The following is a 25,330-nucleotide window of genomic DNA, read 5'->3' as shown; positions in this document are numbered from 1 at the left end:
GGGTCTATACTAAATTAAAATAAATTCTTTTTAGTACAGTTTAAGCTGAAACATATTTAAAAATTGGGTATAAGGCAATTCTGTGATTCGAATAGTAGAACCTTGTAACAACATAAACCTACTGTTCCATAGACTGGGATAGATGTCAGGAAAAAGAAAACAGATTCTTAGAAAAAAAATCTTAAATAATATAACAACGGTTATATAAGACAGGTGTTACTCCAGCTTTCAGACCCCAGACCCCAAAGGAATTCTTTGGCATTTTCTTAGAGTAAGATCTCAAAACTTCAGTTACATTGGGGATTTTTTTTTTCTTCTGTAGAGGGAGCTATACTGGGTGCAGGATATAACAAGGTATACTTCTATGACAACCACATCACCCCACACCTCATTCACGGGTTCACACCAGCTAGATTACATGGAAATCCTCATAGTAACTCAACCCTATTTAATTATTCTGTAAATCTTAGCTATGCCACTGCTGGTGGATTAATCTGTTTATGCAGTTAGCCTCTATGCTGGGGCTGTGTAGCACTAATCCGTGAAAGGCCCACTGTTCTCTTTCATCCTGCGATCATTTGTCTCTCACTGTGCTGATGTCACATTTTAATGAATTTTTGGCAATCTGAGTAATGCCAGATAACCAGGCTCGCAACTCCCCACAGCATGGCATGCTGTTTTCATTGCAGCACAAAAAATAAAAATCATATTCCCCTGTTCAGGTAGGAATTACATAAATTAGGATAAGAAGGTAAAATGGGATTTGAAGCACCAGGCTCAATTTCATAAAATCTTTAATGACCATATAAATTAACCCTGGAAAGGCAAAAGGTCACCGACACACATTTGCATACACTCTTCTATTTGCTTTTGATAAGCAGAGCTTTTATGCAGAGAACATGATACAATTAACCCTTCAATAACCATACAAAACGCTGCTATGGACATTTTAAGTGTCAAGCATTAACTGAAAATTACACACTGAATAAAATTTTCATTGCAAATGCTATAGTGATTGAAAGGGGAAATCGTGGCCCTCTCCACCCCCCATGTTTTATTAATAACGTTCTGACAGCAGAATGAAATATCCACTGTCATATGTAGCAGCTGAGCACCAAAAAAAAATCTATTTAGTGCCTCACTTGCCAGCCATGCTCTACAACTGTGTGAGCAGGATAACAACAGAAGGGGACAGTTCTGGGCTCAATAGGAAACTCTAAAAAGCTAAAGGGAAAACAAGGACATTTAATACATTCAAAATAAGAGTTTGTTTCAACTGTGAGTCCTCAAAGGCACCATACAAATCCATTTATTCCATTTTTGCCCTTTGCCTCTGCACAAAAGCAGAGGGATGGCCCTTGTTTAGGGGGTCAATCATCTGAGGGTTTGAGGGAAGCTTCCCTTTCAGGCAAATACACTCAGAAATTTAACTTCAAGAAGAGAAAGAAACAACACCTCTTCTGGCGCTAGCCTGCTTTCACCCGTCAGTGATAATTACTGATCAAACACAGGCTCCCTCCTCCCAGCACCAGGCCACGCTGGTAGGTAAAGTGGCTGGTGGCCAAGCTGGATTTGGGAGGCTGGAGGGCTGAGATCAACTGGATTGGGCTGTGTCCCTCCCAAGTCCACACATGTGACATGATCTCTAGTTCGCGACCTATGACAGCTGTGGCAATTACTTTTCAACTCATCCCGGGGAAGGGATGCAGGAATTCTTGGAGTAGATTTACTGGGCCTTTCCCCCAGGGCTGGAAAATAAAGTGTCAGAGTGCTACTGAGTGTCCTTATCTTGGGGGTACATAAAATTGTAAGGGCTATGGCAACTCACACTAATAAAACATTGTGTGTCAGGAGAAGAAAAAGAAAATTATGAAGGCACTAAAAGAAAAGCTACAGTATATAATCTGGGTCTCATCAGAGAGATTTTGCAGGGTCCTCTTCTTCATTTTCTGGTATGTGTTTTAAGTGTGAGAGAAATTCCCAGACATGTTCTTCTATACATCACTGTGGTGTCTGACCTCAGCCTGACCCTGGCAACAGTTTGAGAAATCTGAATGTGAACAAAGACTCTGTGTCAGCAGCAGGGAAAGATTGTGGGATAGACGCTCCCCATCAACTTAATCGCAAACAGCAGTTCTGAGGCCATAACTGCCTGGCTCCTCCAAGCCACAACTCATAACCTTTAGAGGTGGATTTGCCTGCAATGCCTCTGCTTCTGTGACTTTTTTCCCCTCTCTCTTTTCAGGTTCTTCCTTTGAAGTAGGCAGGCAATTAGCTCTAATGCTCAAGCAATTCAGATCTGTTTTGTGGTTTAGAAGGGGAAAGCTGTTTATTACAGGTAGGCTCTTTGGAGCCATAAGAATTTGCAAATTTTTAATCATGCAAAAAATAATCAAAAGGTAACTTATACACACCATAAAGTTTCATATAAGTCAGAATAAAAGGGCACTTTTATTCTCAAAGAGGGTTTTAGAAATAAATTTGACATTCATTGTATAAATAGACTTTAGAGTCAAGAGTATGAATGTGGAGAAACCACTTTCTCTGGAAACCCTGTAGGTTAGAACTCGGGTTAAGGGAAGGAGTGGCTACGTTCTAACTTTCAAGCACCACGTATCCTCAGTTGTAAAATACTATGAAATGTAAGGGAAATATATATATAAAACTAAATGTACTAAATAGATACTGTAGAACTGAGGAAAATATACTACATAAAATTCCAAAATAAAGATGCCAAAGCGGTTTTCATTTTCATCAATAAGCCTCTTCACTAATATATTACATGCAATAATAGTGAAAGTATTAAATCATTTCATGATACTGTTGTATTCAGTAGAAGTATACATGTATACAGCATATGGATATGCCACATGCATTTTATTCTTTTGCCTCATGAAATACAGAAAATACAATATTTCTATATTAATCTTTATGATATGTTTATACTTAAGCTTACCATGTATATCAAGGTCCATTTGAACATCCCAATTTTCAGACAAATGATAATACATATTCATTTTTACATGTTTCAAAATAATAGAAAGAAGGCAAAATACTGTAGTCTTATAGAAATGTTACAACAAACTTCCCCTAGCATTTTTGACATGTCTAAAATGATCTTATAAGTTACTCTACATATACACATTGGCTATATTTAAAATAAGTGTTTTTGAATGACTAGCTTAGAGTATTTTCATTTGAACAATAAGAAACAATTGGAAAACTGATATGAGTTTATCCTACAACATTATACAATTTCTAAGCAAATGTACATCAGTGGTATCCCTTTGATCTAAGTACCACCCAATTGTACTTATTTCCCATTGTCCTTCTCTCTCTCTCTCTCTCTCTCTCTCTCTCTCTCTCTCTCTCTCTCTTTCAGACAGAGTCCCACTCTGTTGCTCAGCCTGGAATGCAGTGGCACTCTCGGCTCATGCAACTTCTGTCTCCTGGGTTCAAGCAATCCTCCCACCTCAGCCTCCCAAGTGGCTGGGACCACAGGCATGCACCACCATATCCAGCTAATTTTTATATTTTTAGTAGAGACGAGGTCTCCTCATGTTGGCCAGGCTGGTTTCAAACTCCTGGCCTCAAGTGATCCGCCAACTCAGCCTTTCAAAGTGCTGGGATTATAGGCATGAGCCACCGTGCCTGGCCCTTATTTCCCATTGTCTTAACATACAATTGGGTTTGGGATCCCTCTCCTCTAAGTCTGCTACGAAAGCATTTCATACTTTTTCAACCCATGAAGTGATCATATAAAGAGGAAACACAGTAACTTAGACATCTTTAGTTTTATATTAACATATTGAGTATCTCTGTACAAGACACCTGGCTCGTGAGCATTCTTTCCTAGACTCCTCCATGATCTCCTTGCCCAATCATGCCCCACTCAAATCTATCCTCCTAATGATCTACTTAAATCTGACTTCCCCACTTAAAATCTTCCAGTGACTCCTATCACTTACAAAGAAATAACTCAACCTTCTGTACATAGCGAGATTATGTCCAAGATACCTGGTCCTTGTCTGTCACTCCAGTTTCATCTTTGTTCACTTCCTACATAACACTTAGTGCTTGGGAACAGTCTTCTTACACTTTAGAGTGTCACATTCACCCAATAGACCTGTTACTGGACCCCATCTTGAAAGGTTATAATGTCGTAGGTCTAGAGCTGAACCTGAGAATTTGCCTCTCTGTTGAGTTTCCAGGTAATGCCCGATGTTCCTGGTCCAGCTCACATTTTGTAACCACCGTTCAAGAAACCCAACTGTTTGTAGTGCTTTCTCCCTTCCTATATGTACCATTACATTTCCTTATCTTATTTAGAACAACTTTTCTTCACTGTGTAAATTCCACTTTTCCTTCAAATCATCTTGGGAAATATCAGTTTCAACATCTATGAAAACGGAGTTAATAATAATTATCTCATAGGTTTGTTATGGAATAACATACACAAATTGGTGAGCACAAGCTTAGTAAAAATAAATATTAAAAATCATAGCTGCATTATTACTAGTACTATTGAGTACTATTGTTTTTTTCTCTAAAAAGTCTTCTCTGAACCCTGAACTAGGATTAGTGTTTCTGGATAAATGCTATTTTCCCCCCACCTGTATATTGATGTTAAACCATTCACCACAATTTAATTTGTGGAAATTATCTGTATATTGCCTACTTGCTGTAATAGGTAAACATTTTTTGAAAATAGTGAATATCTTATCCATCTTTGTGCCAAAAGCAGCTGGAACAGTGCCTGGAATACAGTAGGTAGGCAATACATGTTAGTTGGAACAGTGAATTGGGTTTAGAAAGCAAAATTTGGGAAAGAAAAGGAAGAGTCCACATGCTACCCCAGCCCCTATTTCCCTTTAATAAAATGTAAAAGGGGTGTTTGATTTTGTCTTGGTAGTCTGGCTTTGGTTTTTTTTTTTTTTCTTTTTGCATTTCCCTCTTTACCAAATCATATTTATTATTCAACCCTCTCCAGTCTGGTTTCTGTTCATATTAATTCCTCCTCTCAAAGTCACCAGTGACTCCCATGCTAAGTTCAGTGGTTACTTCTCTGCATCTTACTTCACTTCCTTTGCTCGACCGATGTTACTCTTCCCTTCTTCTGGAAAATCGTGCCTCTCTTTGGATTTTATTGCACCAGGTAATTGTGATTTTCATCCTGCCTTTCTGAGAATTTCCTCTTATTCTCCTCTGCTGGGGCCTCCTCTATTAAACAACTAAATACTTGAGTGTCTCCAGTATTAGTACTAAGCCCTTTCTCTATCTACATTACCTCCCTAGACGATCTCATCCAGAATCATGGCTTTATATTTTGTAACTGTACTGGATGTCCAAAAAGTCTATCTAGTTTAGTATGCCAAAATCAGAGCTCTTGATGCTCCTCAACACATCTTACTCCATTTCCCCAACTTTACCATTGCCATTAACAATACCACCACCCAGCACAAGCAAGAGTCATCCCTTAGTCTTCTCTTTCCCATTCATATGCATCCTATCCATCAGTAAATCATACTATTTCTACTTCCAAGATACTTAATGTATACTGAATCCATCTACTTTACATTTTCCCTGCCAGTACCTTTAATCTCTTACCTATATTCCTGCAATGGTCTTATAACTAGATAAGACTTATTCTTGTGTTCCTTTAATTTATTCTGCACAACTAAATAAAATCAATCCATTCTTCTGCTTGAACCTTGTCATAGCTTACTATTTCACTTACAATAACATAACAACTCCTTACTAGGCTGAAACAATTAAGCCCTTGCCTACTTTTCTGGCTGCATGTTATGCTACACTCCTCCTCACTCCCTCATCTTTCTCCATGTTAGCTTTCTTTCTCTTCCTGGAATGGGACCAATTTTTTCCAAACTCTGACGTACATTTTCGCAGACTCTGCATAATTGGCTCCTTTTCATTAACCAGGACTCGGCTCACTTGTCATTTCCTCAGAGAACTTCTCTGACTACCGCTCCTAAAGTAGCTGATGAGCTGTCACACAAGTAAGGTCCTCAGATTTTAGCAGAATCACTACCACCTGAGGGGCTTGCTGGATTTCAACTCCAGTGTCTCTGATTCAGTAGGTCTGGGTTGGGGCTCAGTAATTTGCATTCTTACAAGTTCCTTGGTTGCACTGATGCTGTTTGAAAGGGGACCACACTTTGAGAACCTCTGCTCTAACATATCACCTCTTTAACACTTCCTTTATCACATTTATTGCAATCTGAAAATACTTTTTTGTTTATTTGTTTAGAGATATTATCTAAAGTGAGGGACTTCATCTGTCTTATTCACAATATATGCTCCCCAGTCTCTGGCACATAGAAGATACTCACTAATATTTTAAATAAAACTGATGATTTCTAATTTGACTATTTGTGCAACTAAGTCTACGGTGTGATGTCATCAATTGAGATGGAGAAAAGAGGAGAACAAGTAGTTTTGCAGAAAAGAAAGTTCAATTTGGAATTTGTTGTATTTAGCCTCACTACAGAACATCTAGATGAAAACATCCAGAAGGTATGGGAATATCTAAGTCCAAAGATTCTCAGACAGATTGAAGCAATAATGTAGATTTTGATGTCTTTGTTTACAAAGCAATAAAGAAATATATTGACAGGAAGTAATCTGTTTTTAGCTTGAAATGTTTGCCATAACTCTTGATTTTTGCCATATCACTGCTGGGTCATTAATGAAATCTTTTCATTGGTTTGAGGTGGGGGAGGGAGAGTAGGTTTATTCTATTTCATATTAAATATGTTCTCTAGATTTTTAGGAGAAAATAAGATTTTAAAAAGTATTGATGAGACATGCATAGGTAAACGTAAACTTAACTTTGAAGCTGGAATTTTTTATGAGGAATGTCCTGACTTTATATGGAAGGGATGTTTTCACTTGCAAAATTGTTTTTATTTTAAGTATTCCAATATACCATTGTGAATGCAAAGGACTTTGGTAATCATTTATTGTTCTATATAGCAGGTTATTATTCCAGCTGGATAAATCTGGAAACTGGGGTCATATTTATATAGCAGAAATATATAGCAGAAATAAATGAGCTGTGTTGTAGTAGTAGGAGTGAATTTCCTTTTAAATTATCTGAATATAATGCAGCTAAGAAGGTGTAACTGCCATTTTTAACAAATATATGTATGAATATATATATATATATATACATATATATATATATATATATACATATATATACACCAAAGCAAAAGGATTAGAGGATATGTTGACATAACTATACAAAATCCAATGAATTCAATAATTACCAAAAATAACTCCATCAACTAGGCTCTTTGACTTGTGAAAAATAATATCCAGCTTATTAATATATACTTTGTATAAAACCTATAATTTAGGTGAAGTTTCATAGTGCATAAATATCGATGTGAAAAATTATTAGCAGAAGTTTTAACTTATTCTTTAAGAAGCTACAAACATCCACAAAAAAGAAAAAAAAAAGAGTCCAGACACAAACCTTATATCCTTCAGAAACATTCACTCAAAATGGGTTACAGACCTAACTGCAAAACACAAAACTATAAAACTCCTAGAAGATAACATAAGGGAAAATCTGGATGACTTTGGGTTTGGCAACAATTTTTTAGATACCACACTAAAGGCATAATCTATGAAAGAAAGAATTGATAAGTTGGATTTCATTAAAATTAAAATTTTTGCTCTTTGAAAGATACTGTTGGAAAATAATGAGACAAGCCACAGACAGGAAGGAAAGATTTGGAAAATACATATCTGATAAAGACTGTCATCTGAAATATACAAAGAACTCTTACAACTCTTACAAGCAAATAAACAATTCAATTAAAAAATTGGCCAAAGACCTTAACAGACACCACACCAAAGAAGATACACAGATGGCAAATAGGCATATGAAAGATTACATGTATGAAAAAATCCACATCACATGTCATCAGGGAAATGCAAATAAAAACAACAATGAGATACAACTACACACCTATGAAAATGGCCAAAATCCAGAACACTGACAACATCAAATGCTGGTGATGATGTGGGGCAACAGGAACTCTCATTCATCGCTGGTGGGAATGCAAAATGGTACAACCACTTTGGAAGACAGTTTGGTGGTTTTTACAAAACTAAACATGCTCTTATCATACAATCTAGTAATTGTACTCCTTGGCATTTATCAAAGGGAGTTGAAAATTTATGTCCACACAAAAGCCTGGACACCGATGCTCATAGTAGTTTTATTCGTAATTGCCAAAACTTGGAATCAACCAAGATGTTCTCAGTAGGTGGATAAATAAGCTGTGACATATGAAGACAATGATATATATATATTATTCAGCACTAAAAGGAAATAAACTATCAAGCCATGTAAAGACATAGAGAAAACTTAAATGCATATTACTAAGTGAATGAAACCAATCTAAAAAAAACTACATACTGTTTGATTCCAACTATATGACATTCTGGAAAAAGTCAAACTATAGAGACCATAAAGGATCACTGGTTTACAGGGGTCAAGGAGGTGGAAACAATGAATAGACTGGCACAGAAGATTTATAGAGAAGTGAAACTGTTCTATATGATATTATAACGATGGATCCATGTCACTATGCTTTTGTCCACACCCATAAAATGTACAACACCAAGAGTAATCCCTAATGAAAACTACAGTCTTCAAGTGATAATGTTGTGTCAATATAGATTCATCACTGAACAAGTGTACCACTCTGGTGGGGAGGGCAGTGATAATGAAGGAGGCTATACATGTGTCAGGGGAGAGGGTATTGGGGAAATTTGCTGTGAACCTAAAACTGCTCTAAAATGTAAAGTCAATTTACATATACTTCCAATTATTGAATTTATTTCATTTTGCTTTTTACTTATTTGAATAAGGCATATGATCAGATCTAATTAGAGAAGTTCCAGAGAATGTTTATTCCATCAATTATGAGAGTAACAAAAGCAACTCATTTAGGACAAGGAAATATTTTGAGAAGGAGTAGGAACCATTACCTGAGGTCGATCTCAACTGCTGCTCTGTAAGATCATCATCACAAGTCCTGGCTCCCAATGAGGCAGTTTCTGCAGAAGACATCAGAGTGAAAGGTAATCAGCATGCCATATCCAGCTCTCTCATCATGGCTAATATTACAAGAACCCAAAATTTGGCAGTCAGGAGAGATAAGTATCAGGTGAAGCTCAGGTGAGTCTCCAGCACACATTATATCCTAGTGAGCAGCAGCTGGCAAAATGAGCCCAGGGAGTGATAGGATTAGATTTAATTCTTAAGTATTAGCAGCACAGAACAAACACACTGATAGAGAAAATATGGGAGCAGGAAAGGCTCATCATGATTTTTGTCATTGGACTATTTGGCCAAGCCTATATGTTATAGGATTATGTGTTATAGTGACAATAGCACATTACATAAATTATGAGCATACTTTTACTTCTCTGATAAGTTACCAAAAAGAAAAGAAAAAATATCATTACTGTATATGATAGCTGATGTGCCAAAGCAAACATCAGGCACTGGAGGGGGCACCTGAAGAATAAGTCCAAGTCATCAGCAAATCCACATCTTTATTCTCATCTTTCATTTGAGCTTTAGAGCAAAAGTGCCAACAATGTCTTGGTTTACAAAACTCAACACCAAACACAAGTCATTATTGTCAACTAACTGCGTGATTCCTTTTTGCACTCTATTGTAGGGGAACCTATGGAATAAACAAAACAACTAGACCTCAGAAATTTCCTTCGACATCTCATTCCTTCTCCACAGCAAGTCACCACCTGCTGTTGATTCCATTTTACCAAGTCTCTTATCATGGGTGCTCTCTATTCCCTCTGTCTTCTTCTCTTTCCTGACCGTTTCAGCAGCCTCTGTAATAGTCTATATGCCTCAAATTCCCTGTCTTTCCAATCCAATCCCTCATAAAATCTCAGGAGTCATCTTTTTAGAAAATAGAATCTTGAGTACAAATCATTTCGCCATCACTTCTAGGTATGGGTGAATTACTTAGCCTCGCTAAACCTCAAGCCCCTCATGCATAAAATGAAGATAGAATTATGTAAATAGTAACAGTAATAGAAAATAATACAACTAAAGGTGTAACATGATATAGTCTTTAAAGTCTGAAAAGACCAGATTGTTATCAAGAAGTTAAAAAAAATGGTCACATAATTCTTAACTGCCAAAGGAAATCATGTTTATTTACTATTTCTAGCAATAGCATCTCTGGTTGATTCTGAAGGCTTTAATTAAACAAACAATTAACCTGGAAAATAGAAGTGCATACCAAGGCACTATTATTGCATTTACTAATTGTCTTTCCTGCTGCGTATAAAACCTTTGGCCTTTAGTAGTAATCTATTTAAAAACAATACAATCATAATAAACACTCAGTGCCCCCCCCCACTAAAAAAACCATTATGTTAAATTCATCATGAAAGAAAAAATTTATTCTCAGTCTTTACTTATAAATCCACAAGTAGCTTCCAAATAAATCACAGCCTTAATTGACATCCTACATGTCACTCAAGAAGTCCACCTTTTTTCTCTTGACAACTTCTTATAAAGTTATGCCTTGATTAACGTGGTTCTTTTGACTTTGAATACCTTTTTGGTCTTCCTCTGTGAGCCTCCTATTCTTCCCTCAGAACCAAAAGCACGTGAAACCTCCTCTGTGCACCCATGATGATTAGCTTACATGTATGTTTCAGCACTTATCATGATGTGTTAATTTTTACATGGTCCAAGTAATGTTTCCCCGATAAATTTTGAGTTGTTCAAATGCAGCTTTTCATTTCACAGATTCTCAAGTAAGGACAGAGTAAGACATCAGTCACTTAAGACACTTTGATACAAAATACTAACCTACATCCTATATCCTAAAACAGATGAATCTGAAGATGAGAATTTTCTTGTAGCTTCCCAGAGCTTCAGGACTCTAAATTCAGAGCTCTGTCAACTATACCACAGATAACACAAATGCAGATAATACTCCCTGCTCTCTCTCTCTCTATGTGTGTGCATGTAAAAACCATTTCTCTTTTTTCTAGTGAAGAATCAACATAATTTTTCAGAAAATCTCTACCACTACCCCCACATACACATTTCAACGTATCATATAGACTTGTTCAAAATGAATGTCAGTAGTACCTAGGTGACTTTGACCAAATAACTGCTATTCCTTAAAGATTAATGAAAATAAAAATAAAATGACAAATTATTGAGTTCATATCTCTGCCAGGTACTGTGATAAGCTATTTGTATAGAAACCATCGTGTAATCCTCACAATAACATAATGAGGCAATTATTAATCCTTCTTTTACAAATCAAGAAGCTAGAGCTTAAAGAGGTTAAAGTAATTTGCCTCAGGTCACAAAGTTAGAAACCAATGGCCTGGAATGAAACCCTTGTCTGTCTCGTATAAAAGTCTGTCAAATTTTCAATGTATCTAGTTGTAATACCACAATATTTGGGAGCCTGTAAAGGTTTTCCTAGTCTTAGCAAAGGCCGGAAACCAAGTTGCGGGGAAAGCAATTTTTCTCTAGACCTGTGAAAATCCTGCTGTTTCATAACATATGTATGTTCCTTGAATATAAAATATAACCAAATAATAATTTGGTGCCATATTAAAGTTACTTCATTTGATAGTGATTTAATGAAATGTACAAAATGTCAAAATCAGCAACTGTTGTTTAATCTTACAAATTAGGTCATGTGGCACTTAGAGACTGCTCCAATGAGAGCTACTTGTACAAATAATTTCATAAAAGAATGTTTAGATCCTCAATAATGTTTATCTCTTCATACAAATAATATAAATATTTTAATAAAGGAGCTTTTGACTTACAAAATGAAATGATGAATCTATATTTTTCTGCCTGTGTAAAATGAAAATGTTTAAAACCTAGTAATGATACATAGCATCTTACAATATGTCACTTTAATAACTGGTCTGTAATAACAAATCTGACTGCTGTTAACACGATTTGTCTCTTTTGCTGGTAATTTAATTAGATTACTAATTTGTGTTCTCCAGCCCCTGACCTTCGTTGTTTTAATAGTATTTTTAAAAAATGCCATTGACTTAGTTTATCCAGTATTCTACTCTATCCTGTCAATTTGGTGATAATCACACATTTGAAAATTATGCCAAATTACGCTATTTTTATTAACACAATGTGGGAGTGATCAACATCATTTTCTGTGGAATAGTGTATTGATCATCCCAATCGCCATCAACAACAACATTTTACAGAATATCTGCTCTGTGCCAAGTACTGAATGATATCTTTATTTGCATTATGACACCCATAGCAAGTGATGGAGCTGGGATTTGAACCCACACAGTTTTATTTCAGGGATAGTTCTCTTAACCACAATGATACATTGAACTATAGTTTTGAAATCCTATGGATTTCAAAGGAAAGTAGCTTTCCTTTTTTTGATTCTGCATTTATTTCTAGCGTTCATTTTTGTCATTCTCGTTCAGGCCTGAATTCTGCTAATCACCTATTTCTTTAGCGTAACCCAAATGGTTACATCTACAAAAACCAAGATTAATGCCAAAATGTTTAAGGTTCCCATTCCTTAAATGGAGTCTCGCTCTGTAACCCAGGCCGGAGTGCAGTGGCGCGATCTTGACTCACTGCAACCTCCACCTCCTTGGGTCCCGGTTCATGAAGCAATTCTCCTGCCCCAGCCTCACAAGTAGCTGGGATTATAGCCACGCACTACCATGCCCAGCTAATTTTTGTATTTTTAGTAGAGATGGGGTTTCTTCATGTTGACCAAACTGGTCTTGAACTCCTGACCTTGTGATCTGCCCACCTCGGCCTCCCAAAGTGCTGGAATTACAGGCTTGAACCACCGCGCCTGGCTGGTCAATTCCTTTTAATCGTTAAGAATGAAAGTTCTCACAGCCCTCTCTCTCACTACCTTTTATTGCCACACCTACCCCTAAGCCTCTCCATAATGAGTCTCCAACTCATTACTCCTTTCTACCTTTTCCTTCCCTGTACAAGCAATATTTATTCTGGTAAGTAAACTGACAACTTTCAGGTATTTAATCTCAGTTCAAAAATCATCAAGTTCCCATCTGGCAAATCTTCCGCTCCTACCCGCCCCCCGCCCCGGCTAATTGGGATAACAATTTTGCAAAACTATAATCCATACAAATCTCATGGCCAGGGATATATTTGGAATTTTAATTTTTTAACAATCTAGATATTTATGCAGAGAATTATAAGATTCAGATATCGGAATAAATTTAACCTGTACTAGATGATTGCAACAGCCATGGGCAAAATTTGGGATGCATTCAGCACAAGTTTAGAGGCAACTGGAATTTTTAAAATAATGGATATATGTTCAAGTTGCCAAGCATAGTACTAATACTATTTGCCTGCAAAACCTCCACATCTCACCTCCTCCCAATAATTTGCTAATGCATTAAACAATAAAGTATAGTACTATTCTTACAAAATGTTTAGCACATAAAATAAAATATATACCACCAGAGTAAATATTAAGCCAACTGGTGTAAAATAGTAAAGGCGAAGAAAAACATTTTCTGTATTCCTATGCAGCATTATGAATCCCATGTTATTTTCATTTACAATAAGCCCAACTCTTACTTTTTTTTAAATTGCATAAAAAGACTAAATTCTATGATAGAGTTCACAAGTGTCAACCTTCACACCACAACCCCTCTAGCCATGCCTTTTGTGTTTTACTTTTGAAGCTTCTCCCACTTCTACTGGAGCTATGTGACTAACTGTAAAAGGATATTTTAGAGCCTATGAATACAATAAAAGATATTAGCAGTGCTCTAATTATAAACTAATGATCATTTTTGGAAACTTGTTAGGTGCTAGGCATGTATCCTGCATTTCCTTACTTAATCCTCAAAGTAATCTGCAACAGCAAAAAATCACTGTGTTTATGGAAGAGATGAGATATCAAAGCTCAGACAGTTTAACTTTTTCTAAAGGCACAGGGCAGCAGAAGTGAGATTTGAATGAGTGTCTGACTCCAAAGCTCTGTACCTCCCCGCTGGACAGCACTGCCTCTAGGCATCCCTCAGGACTCCTGGGCCAGGCAGCCTGAAAACTAAATTATTTTCCTCCTAAAAAAAAAAAAATAGCTCACATCGCTTCAAAGCAAATTCATCATAACAAGCTTAATATTTAGAAGAATACATAAAATTCAACATTTATTATTATCTTAGTAGTTGATATTTTAACAATGCCCTCTGAACTTGTCTTGGCATTGCAAAAGTCAAGTCAGTGTGTTCAGATAAAGCAAGTTCACAATTCAAAATGATTTCAAGTGGTCTTCTCCATCCTTTTCCTATGCGGATACAAAGACTGCTCTTCTAAAAAGCTGAGCAACTCAGCATGCTACCATATGGTTTTGAGTAACCAAGCAACATCATCTTTGTTGACCTGTAGTGCTTTCTCTTAAATTATTTCTTCCAGGCAGTAATAGATTGAAGTGCATTGGATGCTCCAGTGTCAATTATCTGAATGGGGCTGGATTTGTAATTTTTTATTTTCTGGAAAAGTAAAGCTCCTTTGCCCTGCCCTGTCTGTTTTTACCCAGAAGTTATTTTTATATAGTAAGGGAGTACTATCTCCTGGGGCCTCCTCAGCCAGGAATTTGTGATCACTTCTTTCTGCTTCTTGAGTCATCTATGACCTCGGTGTAATGGGGCCTCAAAAGAATTTAATACGTTCCTGATATAAATTAGTTTCAATAAATTACTTATACATCTTCTTAATGTCTTATATTTTAAAGTGCTTTTATTAAAATGTTTTTTCTTAAATTTACTAATTCCTATTGTATTTCTCCATTTAAGAATCTATTTCATTTCTGATTGTTTTGAAATTAAAAGATCAACCTTTTGTGAGGATAATTTCAGTATAAACTTGTGTTTCCATCTATCAACCAGTTGCCCAATTATCTAGATTTAAGTCCTTATAGCAGGGGTCCCTAACCCTGCGGCTGTGGCTCGCTCCTGGTCCGTGGCTTGTTAGGAACGGGCCATGCTGCAGGAGGTGAGCTCCTGCAAGCAAGCCTTGTCGCCTGAGCTCCACCTCGCATCAGATTAGAGGCAGCATTAGATTCTCACAGTAGCATGAACCCTATTATGAACTGCACATGCAAGGGATCTAGGTCGTGTGCTCCTTGTGAGAATCTAATGCCTGATGATCTGAGGTGGAACAGTTTCATCCCCAAACCATCTACACCTGACCACTCCGTCTGTGGAAAAACTGTCTTCCATTAAACCAGTTCCTGGTGCCAAAAAGGTTGGAGACCACTGCCTTATGGGATTCATCAAAATTTCTCTTTATTGTCTAGAAGAAATTTCATTCCTCAGCCTACTGTGCTGGCTTTGCTAGGTTGCTCATCAGCATAGGAACTGATCCCTATCCATAAACTGATCCCTCTTCCACCCAATAATAGCCTTTGTTTGTGCTGAGCACTGGCTAGTTATTTCAACTCTTTGCTTCCTATCTCAAAACCAGCTTTTATTTTATTGTGGTAAGAACACTAAACATGAGGTTTACTATCTTAACAAATGTTTATGTGCACAATACAGTATTGTTGCCTATAGGTATAATGTTGTGCAGCAGATCTCTAGAACTTACTCCTATTACTTAACTGAAACTTTATGTCCCTTGTTTATAACTCCCCATTTCTCATACCCCTCAGTCCCTGGCAACCACCATTCTACTCTTTGATTTATAAATTTGACTATTTTAAGTACTTTAGACTGCTTTAGTGGAATCATACAATATTTCTCTTTTCATGATAGGGTTCATCCAATGTTGTCTCATAGCTAGTTTTTAATTCATGAAAGCCTCTATTTTCTATTCCACAGTTACTACGTTTTTCAAATAGCTGTATACTAGGTCAAAAGCCTTTTGAAACTATTTTTTAACGATAAGAAAAAAATAGTTATCCAGCAGTACTTCTTTATCTTTACTTCCTTTAACTCTTTCAGAGACTCCTTACAGGGTGATATGGTTTGGATGTTTGTCCCCTCTGGAACTCATGTTGAAATGTGTTTCCCAGTGTTGGAGGTAGGGTCTGGTGGGAGGTGATTGGATCACAAGGGCAAATTCCTCATGAATGGCTTAGCACCATTCCCTTGGTGACAAGTGAGTTCTCACTCAGTTCATGCAAGATGTGGTTGTTTAAAAGAGTCTGGGACCTTCCCCTTCCCTCTCCCTTTTGATCCCACTCTTGCCATGTGATGTGCCTGCTTTCCCTTTGCCTTCTGCCATGATTGGAAGCTTACTGAGGCCATCACCAAGAGCAGATACTGGTGCAATGCTTATACAGCCTACAGAACCATAAGCCAATTAAGCTTCTTTTCCTCATAAATTACTCTGCCTCAGATATTTCTTCAGAGTGATGCAAAAACGGCCTAACATACAAAGGTACCTTTACTCTCAAGCAAGCTGCATTTCTTTGGCTCAGTGATATTATTTGGTTCTTGGAAGCTTCTATAACTTCTCTTACACTTTCATCTCAAAGACCTGTGATGATAGGTGCCTCCCTCTAAGGCTGCACTGTTTTTAAAGGACTACAACCATAGAGTTGAATCAATGTCACAAGTTTTTAAAAATGCTTTCTTGACTCTCTAATTTCATAATTCCCAATATTTTATTTTCATCGCAATGAGTTACTTGGGCATATTTCTTTGGAGACATTATCCATGAAACCATCATTCACTCTTGCTGTGAAGAATCAGAGAACATAACCCCTGTGTTGAAATAATGGTCAATTCTTTCTTAACTATCTGAGATTTATTCTTTTTGCTTGAGCAGTTTGAGCAAGCAAAGATAAAAGGTGAAACATCAGTGACATAAAATTGCCAACTTCTGCTACAGCAACCCTGCCCTCAGAAACCTACGTTGTTCAAAGAAGTATTTCATTAGGAGAACGTTGGCTGCTCTTCGAGCAAGGAAGAAACGCCATGGAGTTAAGAACCAAATCCATATACACTTGGGCTTGAATCCCAGCTCCACCAGTTTCTAGCTATTTGATACTCTCCAAGTTACTTAACTTCCCTGACATTCAGGATTCTATATGTGAAAGTGGAAACAATAATAAGTTTGCAGGATGGTATTAAGGAGCAAAGTTAATAAATACAAAGTGTGTAGTATTGAATAAGTAGTAGTTGTACTTATGCATAATTCTTCTCTGGCTTTGATCAATCCTGCTGAACACAAGTTACTCAAAGAAAAGACTATATCAATTTGGTACTATGGCTTTTTAGATTGTATTTATAAGTAATGTACTCTTTGTCCATCAGTTAAGTTAGTGTTTTAGGCCTTTAAAATATCACTATTATTTGTGCAGATATTTTGGAGGTAGCAAATGTTAACAAGACTAAACATCGATTTCTTAAGCATTGTAGTTTAAAAGTTATTTTTTTAAGTAAATCCCTAAGCAAATTTTACACATGCTGCAATAAAAGCAGTATGTGTATCAATTTGTAAAGGCTTGGCGTTTTACAAAAATCATAGTGAGGCCCGCAGTGACTCACTCCTGTAATCCCAGCACTTTGGGAGGCCGAAGCAGGAGGATCACCTGAGCCGGAGTTCGAGAGCAGCCTGGCAACAAAGGGAGACCCTGTCTCTACAAAACATGAAAATAATTAGCCAGGTAGAGTGGCACATGCCTGTAGTCCCAGCTAATCCAGAGGCTGAGGCAGGAGGATTGGTTGAGCCCAGGAGTTTGAGGTTGCAGTGAGCTATACTCATGCTACTGCACTCTAGTCTCAGGATCAAAGTGAGACCCTGTCTCAAAAAATGAAAATAAAAATAAACTAAAATTACTGTGACAGAATATGAACTTTGAAGGACTGGTAGTAATAGACAAGTCAGCCCTAGGTAGGTTTTTTTCCTTGCAAAAGAAGGGATCCTCTGCTCCCCATACCAAACTTCCACCATCCACCTTCTGGTAAGAGAAAAACTTGATGAGAAGATACGAACAATCTCAGAATATATAGGCCTACAAATGTGGCAGTCTGCAAAACTAAAAATTTTCATCTGTACACAAATATTGGATTTGAGTAATTTTCTAGATTATTCCCTGTGTTGCAGTCACCTAAATCATATGCCTTACTGAACACACCATTAAGACACAAAACATTTATTTTTCTTGAAAACAATTCATAATGAAACCAAAGATAGATAATACTTTAGAGCTTTCACAAAGGCAGTGTTCAATAGGAAATGCATAAAATAAGAAGCTCAATAAGGAACACTTTTCTTCAAACTGTAAAAATTTAAACTGATCTATTAATATGTTGGCACCAGTGTCCTCATCTGTAAAATCGGGATACAATTACCTTCTTTCTTGCTATCACACCTAGTCACTGTAAGGATGAAATGTAAGTTGCTATCACCATCTCTAGGTATGCATGCAAAACAAATAAATAAAATCTTGCTACTATACTTCCTAAATATTTAATGTTTATATATCCTGCCATGGAATGCATCGCTACTACTTATAATAAACTACCCTTTACAATTGTATACATGGGAGAAATTATTGCTTCTCATAGGTTGGGTTATTTATTTTGTGAATTATATATGACCATAAAAGAAAATCCTCAGATAACTAGATAATGTTTTTTACCAACATGATAATTGTTGAAATAAATTTACCATTAACCTAAGATGCAGTAAAGTTTCCTAAATTCTATGTAAATAATGCTTGGCTTGGAAATTTCTGCATCTCATCACATTCAAAAAGGTCAGATTTATGTAGTTATATACACCAAATTATACTTATGAGATCTGACCTAGGCAGTGATTGATACAAACATAAGTGAAAGAAATCTGGAAAGGAAAAGTTAGTGAAAGTATTCATAGCCCCAGAAAAGGAAGATTAGAGAAGCTAGCTTGGAGCCAAGATGAAAAATGTGCTATTGGAACCTGCTATGAATTTTCAAGACAATACTTATGCATATCCATGAAATGTTTATTTAATAAATCATTCATTAATGAGCAAACAGATTGATGAGATTTGGCACACTGCTCTCTTTGGACTGTGTGAGCAGCAGAAAAAATGGCTTCTGAGACATAGCCAATTTATTTTTTCCTGTGCCTGTATGCATGTATTGGCAAAGAGTTCCTTGGATTTTGGCAGCATGGGGGGTTTTAAGCAGAGGTGCCATGATCATATTTTCTTCTGTGGGATGCTGTGCAGAGGATTAAATAGAGGAAGAGGTGTCTCACTGTTAAAAAAAAAAAAAAAAAGGAGACACTATAGCATCCATCACACTTCAAATTATAACTGTCTGGAAGAAATTGTAGAGAAAGGTAGTAGAGTCATTTCACTGGAGAGAAAAGAAATGTTAAAAAGTCCAAGATTAGGTCAAGAGAAAAGATGATAAGCTCAATTTTGAACATGAATTTGAGTAGAGAGGTTTAGTAAACATATAAGTTTATGGGACTAGATCTTGGAAGAGAAAACTGAGTTGAATATATTTGAAAATGTTACTAACCAATGACTTGTGAGTAAATGACACTTCTTAGAATATATAGAGTACGGACGATGAAGGGTAAGGGCAAAACTCTAGGGAACAAAAATCAAGAAATTAAGTGACACTGAAGGATGACAAAAGATACTGAGAAAGAACAAAGAGGAGCTGGGAGTGGTGCCTCATGCCTGTAATCCTAGCACTTTAAGAGGCCAAGATGGGGGATCACTTGAGGCCAGAAGTTCAAGACAAGAAGTTCAAGACAGTAAGACCCCATCTCTACAACAAACAAAAACAAAATTAGCCAGGCATGGTGGAGCACACCTGTAGTCCGAGTTACTCAGGATACTGAGGTGGGGAGGATCACTTGAGCCCAGGAGTTTGAGGCTGCAGTGAGCTATGATCTTGCCACTGCAATAATGAGACCATCTCAAAAAAAAAAAAAAAAAAAAAAGAGGTAGACACAGGATCAGATAGTGATTGGTAAAATAGTGGCCAAAGGAAAAAAACCTTGGAATCACAAGTATAAAATTATAGAGAGAAGTCAAGTAAAATAAGGTCACTGTTGATATTGTCAGAGATGATGGTGTCTTGGACCAAGGAGTCAGTAGAGAAACTGGTATATATTTTGAAAGAGCAGTAGATAGGACTTGCCAATGGGTCTAATGAGGAATGGGAGAAACTGAAAAGAATCAATGATTATTCCAATGTTTTTGGCCCAAGAAATAAGAATTAAGATGCCATTTACTAAGATGAGGGAAAATGCAGGTGGAGCAAGTGAGAGTAAAAAGAAGGTTTGGATATGTTTAGTTTGAGATTTTTTGTTTATATAGGCAAGTAAAGGTGTCAAGTAGGCAAGGGTATGAAGGGGTGTGTGCATGTGTGTGTATGTGGAGAGACAGGGGCAGAAACAGAGAGAGAGATAGAGAAACAGAGAGCAAGTGGAGGGGAAGAGAGGACAATGCATTAATGGTAGTTTAAGTTTTTGAGATGAGATTGAATGAGATAACCTAGAGAATGAGGGTCCATGATTGAGCCTGGGATTCACTCCTACAAAAGGCATACCAAAGCTGGGGGCACTGTAGCAGTCTACAACCAGATGCAAGAGGTGATTTATCATCGACAATATTTAGAAGTGCCAGTACCTGGTAAAAACAAAAATACAGCAGGCCAACTTTTAGTCAGTTTTATTGCTGTTTTTTCTTTATTTCAGTTCCCTACAGGGAATGTATTGTTTTTACTGCCTGTGCTGAGGTGAAAGAGTCCCACGATTTCCTCCCAAAACAAGGAAGCACCAATGAAGAAAACTGATCAGGAATGAGGTAGGAGAAAACCAAGAGAGGATGTGGTATAGACAGCCTAGTGAAAAAAAAAAAAAATCTCAGAAAGAAGGAAGAGGTCAGCTTGTTAAAAGCTGCTAGCTATCGTAGTTAGGCCGACTAGGAATTGGTCATTAGGTTTGCCAAAGAACAGGTCAACAGAGTCCCTGATTGGAGCTTCTTTAGTAGAATGGTGTGAGTGCAAACACCTCCTGAACGTGGGTAGAAAGGAAAAAGAAGATGAAAAAACTGGAGATGTCAAGTGTGGAAAATTCTCAGAAGTGTCTGCTGTAAAAATGACCAGAGAAATAGGGTGGTATCTGAAGGTAGATGTAACATTAGGGAGGGTTTTATAAGTAGGGAAGGTTGAGATGATGATGGGAATGAGCTAGTGGAAAGGGAAAAATTAATAATGCAGAAGAGAGTGAAGCAGTGACAGGTGTCATAGGATGGACCTAGGTGTAGATGTCTGAAAAACATTGAGGGTGAAAGCCAAATTATCACAAAAGTCAATGAAATTGAGACTAGGGCTTATCATCCTGAAGCAGGATTATGACAATAATTGGGGAGGAGAGTTGGCAGAGTAGGAAGGACAGAGAAAAGAGGCACCAAAATGGATGCGAACAATACAAGACAGGGACTAAAAAAGAGGTTCAGAAAGCAAAAGTCATCTGGTTTTAGCATATAATACACACCCATTGCCTGTTTGTGATACACAGTGACTGTAATCATTTTTGTTGCATAAAGATCTGGCTAGCAATCCTATCTAGCTATGAGCCAACACCATTACTTTTTCATTGTAGGTATCATGGAGGCTATAAGCAATAAAACTTATCAACAAAGATGAAAATCCCTATGGAACATAAACACTTTCCTATTAAACTCTTAAGTTTTATGGCAATACCATCACACTGTAATTTTTGTAATAGTCCCAAGTTTGATCAGAAAAACTAAACAATATATAATGCATATGGCACATGTATTTTAGGATTTTGGCACAAGATCATTAAAAGGCCTCAAAAGTGTGTGGCAAATTGGTACTCTTTTCCACACACCCATTAAATTTGCTGCATGACTAATCAGATGAAGCATGTCATAATCATCACTAGTGTAAAAGGTGACATATAGGCTGAAGTCACACTGCCATAAACATCTTATGATTCAAACAAAAAATAATTGTGCAAAAGAGCAAATACATCATTACAATACATGATAACAGCAAGTAGTAGGGGAAAATGAACTTAAGTATGAACAATTAATTCATAAATGATTACCAGAATTCAAAAGTAAAAAAATGTGCAAAATATACGGTAATCTGAAAAAAATAAAAAGTGTGTTTGGAAGGATGACGATATTGGTGGTAAAGAAATTGAATTTTTAAAATCATTTATTTTTGTTTACTTCACATATACAAACTAGAATTAAAAACATCTCTACTAAGGTAAATAATTTCAGCCAAAGGCAGAATTCCCTTTGGAGGATTTTTAACAATGCTGTTACTAGGACATAGAAAGAATAGCAAAAGTACATTCACTGAAAAATGTAAGTAACGTGGGAATAAACTGCATCTTTTATATGGCCAATATTTTTGTAATGTTCTCATATACATCTCTTTACTCTGATCCTCACTTTTGTCCTCAGAGGAAGCAGATGTTGTATCACCCTAAATACTCTAGAAGTCTATTTCCAGAGTGAAGAAAACCACCCTCTAATTTGCCCAAGTTGCTTGCAAGGGTTGAAAATACACTGCTTTTTGCATACACTATTAATTGTTGGGAAGAATCTCTTATATATATCCACAAAATTAGAATGTAATAGGGTGAGGCCAAATGGAATATTGGAGAATCAGTTTTCATTTGTTCCACGGCACCCCATCTTTCCTGTGATACCCGTGAAACGGTTGCACAATACTTATAAGCTGGTGCTGGGGCACTCTGTCTTCCTTCTTCCTGCCAAATGCATGGAGGTGATCCTGTCTCACCAAAAGTCCTATAGACAGGGACAAATGAACTTCTGCCCATTGTTCTCCCAGAAGAGCGGCACCCACCACGAATGCTCCATTTCACCTCATGTCTAGTTCACCTAATGGCCTAGTTCTGGGTTTATTTATATTTACATATTCAAGGAGTACATATTGAACACTTACTAGGTGCAAGACACCCTGATAGTCCCATTACGGAAGTTCCAAAAGAATAGTTTATAGGTATTTCTGTTTAATCAATCCTTTTTATTTAGAAAGATATAAAAATGACTTACATTATTCCACATTCCATGAAATATTTCCACTTTATTCAGCATAAATGACATTAATAGGCTAACATAAGCTCTAAATGTTATAAATAAAACAGAGCCCCAACACTGTTTTATTAAAACTACCAAAAGCCCATTAAAATCATGAGGAAAAATGAATACTTTTTGTGAGTTAAAAAAAAAAAAAAAAAAAAACCTTTATGAGCACATTACTTCCCCTCCCCTTCCCACACTAGTTTAAAGCATTTTGTCTGAAAGGGGAAAATGTACTGCCTTACTATCAGGGCCCCTTCACCATGCCTAATCAGGCTGTGAAGTTTTCTATAGTCACCAAGCTTCAACCTTTAGTGGGACCCTTGGCTCCTCCTTCATTGCTTCTATTTAGTTGGTAAGTTTACTCTGGATTTCTTTTCTTTTTTTTTAGGCAAGGTCTCGCTGTGTCACCTAGGCTGGAGTGCAGTGTCATGAACATGGCTCACTGTAGCCTCAACATCTTATGCTCAGTGGATCCTCCTGCCTCCTGAATAGCTGGGACTACAGAAATGTGTCACCTTGCCTGGTTAATTTTTTAATTTTTATTTTTAGTAGAGACAAGGTCTCCCTGTGTTGCCCAGGCTTGCTTAGTCTCAAACTCCTGGGCTCAAGTGATCTCCCTGCCTCGGCCTCCCAAAGTGCTGGCATTATAGGCGTGAGCCACCGTGACTGTTCTAGATTCATTTTTAATGCTCTTTTCTATGTGTTGGGCCCTACCTCAGTGCCAGCCTCCCAGTATGTTGACTGGCTTTGAATGAGCTCTCTGCCTCCAGGTCCTCTTGCTTCTAAAACAGCTCTTCAACAACGCCATTCATACAATCAAAAGCTTTGGTACTTTCTTATTTTCTCCTTTATCGAATCCAAACTTTGCTTGGTCTTCAAGGCATTCCATAATCTTAACTATCTAGTTAATTTTTATTGCTTTCTCCTAAATGGTCATTAATAGTCTTTTAGTATAGTTTCTTGCTTCTCCCGCAGTCTTATCAATTGTCTTTCATCTCTGAGTCTGCATCATGCCATTCCTCCTCTTAACCCTAAGGACAATGCCAAAATAAATAAGCAAATAAAGAAACACACAAAGAGAGAAATAAATAAAACCTTATTTCATTTTCCTTCCCTACTCAATTTTCATGTCCTCATACCTCCATCAGCCATATCAAATCCCAGTTTCAATGTTCCTCTAAACATTACTGAACTTGAATTCCCTCAAAATGTCCTAATTTACCTGGTTTATGGTGACAAGTTCATTGATTCTGTCCTCTAGGCAGCCTCTAAACTCCTTGAGGGCAGGGAACTTTCACTTTTCTATCTCTCACAGCCCCAGGCCAAATGCTAAACCCAGAGCTGTTGCTCAGTGGATTCCTTTCAAGTGATTTCTACAACCAATAATGGTAGTAGTAGAAGAATCTTCCAGATACTAAAGAAGGGTCCTTTTCTCCACTTCATTCTGATTCTGATTCCAATTAATTCATCAAGTATTTGCCACATTTGCTATTAGATGCAAGTATCTGGTATTCTTGCTCAATGGGACAGGAGTTTAAAATCCAATTGAAATAGGCTAAAGAGGGAGACAAGTTCTTCACGGTTATATGCCAGCTTTGTTAGCAATTCTTTCTCCTTTTCTCTCCCAATACACATTGTAGAAATAAGTTACCCTGCACTGTTTTCCTTTTCCTAGTCCCTTCTTGTTACTGGTTTGTGAATGTGCAAGTTGTATGCATTTAATTCTTTGAAGTCCAAACACATTCTTGCTTGAAAGAAAAGCTCTGGAGGATGAAATAAGAGTATACAATTATTGCAAAATGGTAATAAAATCACCTCCCCACGCTTCCCTTGAGAACCATGGTCAAGGAAGATCTGGCTGAGAGGGCTGAAACAGACTGTCAACTTGACTTTTAATTTTATGAACTATGAGAATTTGGACAAAAAAAAATCTTCAAAGGATCAATATCATTTCTACAAATGAGAAGAAGACTGAGTGTGAAAACGCTGCTTTGAAGCAGGCTCAGAAGAAAAAAATCTTATGAGCAAGTACCAATAGTACTTTCTCAATTTCTCATTTTTTTTTCTTTAAAAGGGATTTTATTTCTTTTAAGCACAGGAATTGCAGTTAAAAATTATTTTATAACCCTTAAAATGAGAACATTTGCCTATTAAGCTCCAACAATCCACAATATTCTATCTGTAAAGCATATCATGTGGCC

At 37.0% G+C, this 25,330-nt stretch overlaps 1 protein-coding gene across 2 annotated transcripts in view, besides 1 other annotated feature; it reads right to left on the bottom strand.

The window, feature by feature from the left end:
- ZFHX4 (zinc finger homeobox 4) overlaps positions 1–25,330 on the bottom strand; it is a 186,035-nt gene that overhangs the window by 24,851 nt on the left and 135,854 nt on the right. For both annotated transcript variants that reach the window (NM_024721.5, NM_001410934.1), the window contains exon 5: positions 9,025–9,093. In NM_024721.5, coding sequence (NP_078997.4) covers positions 9,025–9,093 — 69 coding nt within the window. The remainder of the gene's footprint in view (positions 1–9,024; positions 9,094–25,330) is intronic.
- Positions 324–3,114: an enhancer, noted in NCBI's record as "VISTA enhancer hs1681". NCBI's record gives its function as "enhancer in: dorsal root ganglion[5/5] | limb[4/5] | branchial arch[5/5] | trigeminal V (ganglion, cranial)[5/5] | genital tubercle[4/5] | tail[4/5]" and the evidence as "EXISTENCE:transgenic organism evidence [ECO:0001131][PMID:17130149]".

This window comes from Homo sapiens, chromosome 8 (assembly GCF_000001405.40).
Source record: "Homo sapiens chromosome 8, GRCh38.p14 Primary Assembly".
In the NCBI taxonomy this organism is placed as follows: Eukaryota; Metazoa; Chordata; class Mammalia; order Primates; family Hominidae; genus Homo; species Homo sapiens.
The sequence above is the reverse complement of the archived record's forward strand: the minus strand, read 5'-3'. Positions and strand labels throughout refer to the sequence as shown.